General features: G+C 42.5%; 1 protein-coding gene across 5 annotated transcripts in view; it reads left to right on the top strand.

Moving 5' to 3' along the window:
* SLC45A2 (solute carrier family 45 member 2) overlaps positions 854-6,164 on the top strand; it is a 40,071-nt gene continuing 34,760 nt past the window's right edge. For all 5 annotated transcript variants that reach the window (XM_047417259.1, NM_016180.5, NM_001012509.4 and 2 more), the window contains exons 1-2: positions 854-1,348; positions 3,135-3,311. In XM_047417259.1, coding sequence (XP_047273215.1) covers positions 964-1,348; positions 3,135-3,311 — 562 coding nt within the window. In that variant the 5' untranslated portion in view covers positions 854-963. The remainder of the gene's footprint in view (positions 1,349-3,134; positions 3,312-6,164) is intronic.

Below are 6,164 nucleotides of genomic sequence, written 5' to 3'. Positions count from 1 at the left end.
CCATGTGTAATAACGTGTGTGAGAGAAGCCATGTGTGTGGTCATGTGTAATAAAATGCATGAGAAGCCATGTGTGATCATGTGTAATAGCATGTGAGAGAGAAGCCATGTATGATCATGTGTAATAACGCATGTGAGAGAAGCCATGTGTGACCATGTGTAATGTGTGTGAGAGAAGCCATGTGTGATCATGTGTAATAGCATGTGTGTGAGAAGCCATGTGTATGATCATGTGTAATAACATGCATGAGAGAAGCCGTGTGTGATCATGTGTAATAGCATGTATGTGAGAAACCATGTGTGATCATGTGTAATGTGTGTGAGAGAAGCCATGTGTGTGATCATGTGTAATAGCATGTGTGTGAGAAGCCGTGTGTGATCATGTGTAATAGCATGTGTGTGTGAGAAGCCAGGTGTGATCACGTTTAATAGCGTGTGTGTGAGAGAAGCCATGTGTGTGATCATGTGTAATAATGTGTGTGTGAGAGAAGCCACGTGTGTGATCATGTGTAATAGCATGTGTGTGTGAGAGAGAAACCATGTGTGTGATCATGTGTAATACTGTCTGAGAGAGCCCATGTGTGTGATCACGTGTAATAACGTGTGTGTGAGAGGGAGAGAAGCCATGTGTGTGATCACGTGTAATTGTGTGTGTGTGTGAGAGAGAGAGAAAGAGAGAGGGAACAGTACAAAGGAGGATCCCTTTAGAAAAGTATTCCAACGTCTTATGGAGCCAGAGGGCTGATTCACAGCTGCTAATCTCTGTCATGCTTTCCAGCACCACCCCCTCCCTCTCATCATAACTTGTGATCTTAGAGGCAGGAAAGAATTTGAGCCCCTCCCCCAGCCTGACCATCTCTGTTGGTTGCTCGGCCAGGCTCCACGTCAAATCCAGTTTGAAACACAGACCCTAGGACCACGCAGGAGGTGGTGGGCTCGCAGGAAGGTTCCTCTCCCAGTGGCCATGGGTAGCAACAGTGGGCAGGCTGGCCGCCACATCTATAAATCCCTAGCTGATGATGGCCCCTTTGACTCTGTGGAGCCGCCTAAAAGACCCACCAGCAGACTCATCATGCACAGCATGGCCATGTTCGGAAGAGAGTTCTGCTACGCGGTGGAGGCAGCGTATGTGACCCCAGTCCTGCTCAGCGTAGGTCTGCCCAGCAGCCTGTACAGCATTGTGTGGTTCCTCAGCCCCATCCTGGGATTCCTGCTGCAGCCCGTGGTCGGATCGGCCAGCGACCACTGCCGGTCCAGGTGGGGCCGCCGGAGACCCTACATCCTCACCCTGGGAGTCATGATGCTCGTGGGCATGGCTCTGTACCTCAATGGGGCTACTGTTGTAGCAGGTAAGTGGGCTGCACAAGGTGGGCAGACAGGGATATGTGTCTTAGTGTGTACCTCTGCAGGAGGAGGATGTTCATGTGTTTGACCTTTCCTAGAAATTTGTTAGAATTGATCTCTCCTAGGTTACAATGAACTTCCCCTTTGACAAATTTGGCCCAGATTCTGTGGTTGGGGAGCCTCTACTTCTAGAAATATCAAAATAAATATGTTTCATTGTTGTGAAGATTTAAAAATAGGATTAAATTTGTATCTATTTTATTAAATTTGTATCTATTTTATCGAATTGAATATTTTTACATATTTATCAATTGAGTTACTTTTTGAGCCCATTATGCTCTATTTAATACTCTTATCAAATTGACTGGCTGCCAAATAGCTCCATAAATATTTACAATAAGTCACCTGTGTATCCAAATAAGTTAATTCTGTTCATAGTTTTATGTAGAGCGTTTTAATAGGCGTAGGGCATAAGCCCATCAGCTCAAGAGGACCTTTCTGGCATTGCAAATTCTGGACAAAAGCAAACCTGAGGGTAGGCATTTTTTCTAGCCATTAATCAGCTACCAATTAATCAGTAATTGATGGTAGTACAATAAAGTTGCATTGCAAAAAGGATCGCTAAAAATAGCACACATTTGTAGATCATTAACTCTCAAGCTAGCAGAATCGGTGATTATGAGGCAGGATAATCAATTATCATTTGTACATATTTGAAAGAAAGCGTAAATGTACAAATGTAGGATATTTCCAGGAGAATGAACAAAAAGCTGATAAGCATTGTTGACTCTAAGGAGGATTACTGAAGGACAGGAGGTGAGAAGTGGCGGGTAGACTTATTGTTCATTTAATTTTATACTGCAATTTTTAAAACGTGTATATAATCTATGCTATTCTTAAGTTTAAAAAGCAAATGGAAACAAGAGAAACAACAATGTATCTTTTATAGGAGATTGGGTAAACGATTACAGCGTATCCGTAGAATGAAAATCCAGCTGTTAAAAATTGTGAGGAGCTGAAATTATATGAAGAAAGTTGGTTACTGCATCAGTGCTGTTCAAAGATGTGGCCTCTGACCTGCCCCTCAGCATCAGCAGAGACCGTTAGAGATGCAGTTTCTCGGGCCCCCTTCAGGCCCACCAATTGAATCAGAGTCTTGGGAAATGGGGCCAGCAATCTGTGTTTTAACAAGACATACAAGCGATAGTTCAATATGCCAGACTTTGAGAAGCACTGCGTTTGACTACCATTGTACACGTGTGTCTGTATGTGCAGAAGTGCGTAAAAGGAGGCCTTAAAGCCTGACCTTTGCTGGGGCTGGGATTGGAAGCATCTCCCTCAGCTTTTTTAATAGAATTGGAATTGCTTGCGATAAGCATGCATACTTTTTTATTTAAGGAGATATTTTACATACCAGAAATTTCACTAATTAAAAGTGTACAATTCAGTGCCTTTAGTATGTTGTGCAACCATTACCACTCTCTAATTCTACAACATTTTCATCACCCCCAAAATAAACCCATTACCATCAATAGTCACGTCCACTTTTCCCCTATGCACCAGCCCTAAGCAACCACTAATTTACTTTGTGTCTCCATAGATTTGTGTTTTCTGGACATTCGCTTGCATAATTTTTAAAACCTGAAAAAAAATGTAAAGCTATTTTTATTTGGAAAAAAGCAAAATAAAAGCAAGGAAGATGATTTTATGGCAAGAAGTTTAGGTGGAAATTACAAAACGCGGATGATTCTAAAACAGGATTTAGGAGACCAATGTTTATTTTTCTTTTAGCTTTGATTGCTAACCCAAGGAGGAAGCTGGTTTGGGCCATAAGTGTCACCATGATAGGTGTCGTTCTCTTTGATTTTGCTGCCGACTTCATTGATGGGCCCATCAAAGCCTACTTATTTGATGTCTGCTCCCATCAGGACAAGGAGAAGGGCCTCCACTACCATGCCCTCTTCACAGGTAGGGAATATTCCAGAAAGTCTCTCCTTCAGCTCCCCAGACAATGAGGCACTTCCACTAAAGCCATCCAGTGTCTCTACACGTGGAGTTTTTTGAATGAACGGGTCAGCTGATGGGCTGCTCCCGTCATGCGGGCACTGTCTCCCCGTGCATTTCTCTGAACAGTCAGCTTGTGACTAGTGCTGCAGTTTCTGCAAAGGAAGTTTACAGAAGAGCTTTCTTAAGAATGCTTTGTGGAGACAATTACAACTGAAATGGAAAGAAGCCTTGTGGATTGTACTTTTGCATTAGAGCAGAGGATCTCAAGCATCAGCAATGTAGCATCCACATTCCTTAGAAGGTCATTGAAAATACAGTTGCCTGGGCTCCTTCTCCAGTTATTCTGATTCAGTGAGTCTAAGGCGGGGCCCAGACATTTGTATTTTATTTAATAAAGACCCCAGATGATTTTGTGGCAGGTTTAAAAAACAAAAAGAGAAAACAAACCAAGCAAACAAAAAACTCAACGTCTTAGAAATTTCTTAGTTATGTAAAAGGTTGGCATTTCCTCAACCTTGTGGTTTGAAAAAGTTCATGCCAGGAGGAAAATGGGAGCTCTCTTGATCTCTTGGGACTGTTGCCAGCCTACTTTGGTTACTGTTGGTCAATTGTTTAGAGCAATGCTACTCAGAGCACCAGTTAGGACTATGCTAGAACTAGGCATTGAAATATAAGGCGACAGGAGGATCCTGGCCCAAGAGGATTTTTATATCTAAGAGGGGGACTCTATCAGCCCACCTTATTTGATTGTCTTTGTAGCCCAGCCAATGCCTTTATTTATGTTTTGATGTATTCTCTCTCCTTCCATGGCCAGGTAGGTCCATGAAAAGCAAGATTTCAAGTTTTGCTCATAGTTTCTGTCTCTAGAGCTAAGACTGCTGCCTGCCCATGGAAGCCACTGGAGCCAATATTTGTCATTTGAGCAAACATTTGAATAGTTGAAAACATGAAGGAGTGAGGCCGTTGGAGCACAGTTGGTAGATCCTCCTCTGTGTAAGGAAGGCAGAGGGGCAGGAGTGCAGCCCCGTCTGTCACTGGCCCCTGCCCACTATGTCTCCAGGTGTTTAAAGGCACCTAAGACATGGCCAGGGCTTGAGACTTCCCCTGCCTCACCTTTGCTCTTGGCTTCCCTTCCCACTGCACTTTCCACGTGTGTCTCCTCACTCGGGTGCTCCCACCCCGCTGGCGTCCTTCTGTCTCTGGGGTCAGCCCAGCCCATCATACCTGCCCCAGGGTTTGGCATGAGCTCTTGCCCTGCCTGGGACACCCTTCCCCATATAATCCCATAGTCATGCCTTTATTCCACTCAGATTTCTCATCAGATATCTCTCATCAGTGAGGTCTTTCTTGGCTACCGTACCTGGCATAGTATGACCACTCCTCTTTCTCCTCATCCTTATTGGGTTTGATTTTTCTTTCTAGTGCTTATCAATACCAGACTAACTGACTGGCTATTTATTTATCTATCATCTGTCTCTCTCTCTCCTTCTCTTTTTTCTTTCTGGTTGTCTCTCCCATTTAGAACATCAATCCCAGCTGAGCAGACCTGTTGTTTTGTTCTCTGATGAATCTTCAGTTCCTGGAAGTGTCTGCTGCATAGTAGGTGCTCAGTAAATACTGAACAAACATTTCTCAAATACCCCATGTATGATAATAACCATGTATTAGGTATTTTCTCTTACATTATCTCGATCCTGACAATGGCCATGTGGAAGTGGTGTGATTCCCATTTTTCAGATGTGGAAGCTGAGCCTTGAAAGCAGTGGTGTGCTTACAGCTGGCTCATGCTGGCTTCTTGAGAATCAATTGTCAAATTTTAGGAATTCAGTGAACTTGTTGACATCATATTGCTGGCTTGAAACTGGCCATGATGGCAGTATTAAAACTCTAGAAATTGGCAAAGCTATAAATCATGGTTTTTTTTTTTTTCTTGGAAAGCCAGTTGTTAAATATTTACCTGAAGTCCACTGATTGGAGTAGGAGGGGGGTTCGGTGATTAAGTCACTTGCCCATAGTCCATAGCCGGAAAGTCTCATTGAATAGATTCCAACTTCATTTTCCTAACTTGAATCTGACAATTCCTTCTGTTTTATTATAATTTGTTGAAATTAATTACAAGGTCATGGGAGACTTTCTGGCTTTTGAACTCGATATTAAGAGTTTATTGATCTACAGGACATTGGACAATGTGGCCACCACTTCCCAGCTTACAATTGTATTAGATGTGGCTAAAAGACCCATGCTTTGCTGCCTTGACATTAAAAGACAAAACTCTGTGTTAGGGAAACTTTTCCAAGGCCAATACATGATAGTATTGTAAACCAGAATTAAAATTCTAACCCCCAGCTAACTGAAGGACCCTTCCTCTCGGCCAAGGTCATCCTAAAGTAAATCTGAAATACTAGTTTAGGCCATGATGGGAATGGGTGGTTGGACATGCCTCATTATACCTCTGTCCCTTTGGAATTCAAGCACAATTGATCAGCATTAACATTAAAGCAGAGACTTTAAAACTGACAAAACAGACTGTTTGTAGCAATTAGGTATTAACATGATAACATAGCAGGCCCTGAAAGAAATAGAAGTATTTCACCCCAATATACATTTATTTGATATATTTTGAAATGGCCCTGAAAAGCTGTCTCTTATGGGGAAAATCTACCTTCTGTACTCCTCACTCTTCCCTTTCCAGTTATTTTCCTGATTTAGGATAGAATTAACTAAAGTATCTGGCACCTTTTTAAGTCTGATAGGAAACGTTTACAGTCTATTCTCTCTGAAGCCTGCTACATGGAGGCTTCATCTGTATAATAA

The sequence above is a fragment of the Homo sapiens genome, chromosome 5, assembly GCF_000001405.40.
Source record: "Homo sapiens chromosome 5, GRCh38.p14 Primary Assembly".
In the NCBI taxonomy this organism is placed as follows: Eukaryota; Metazoa; Chordata; class Mammalia; order Primates; family Hominidae; genus Homo; species Homo sapiens.
Note: the sequence above shows the minus strand (reverse complement) of the source record. Positions and strands in the feature narration are given on the sequence as shown.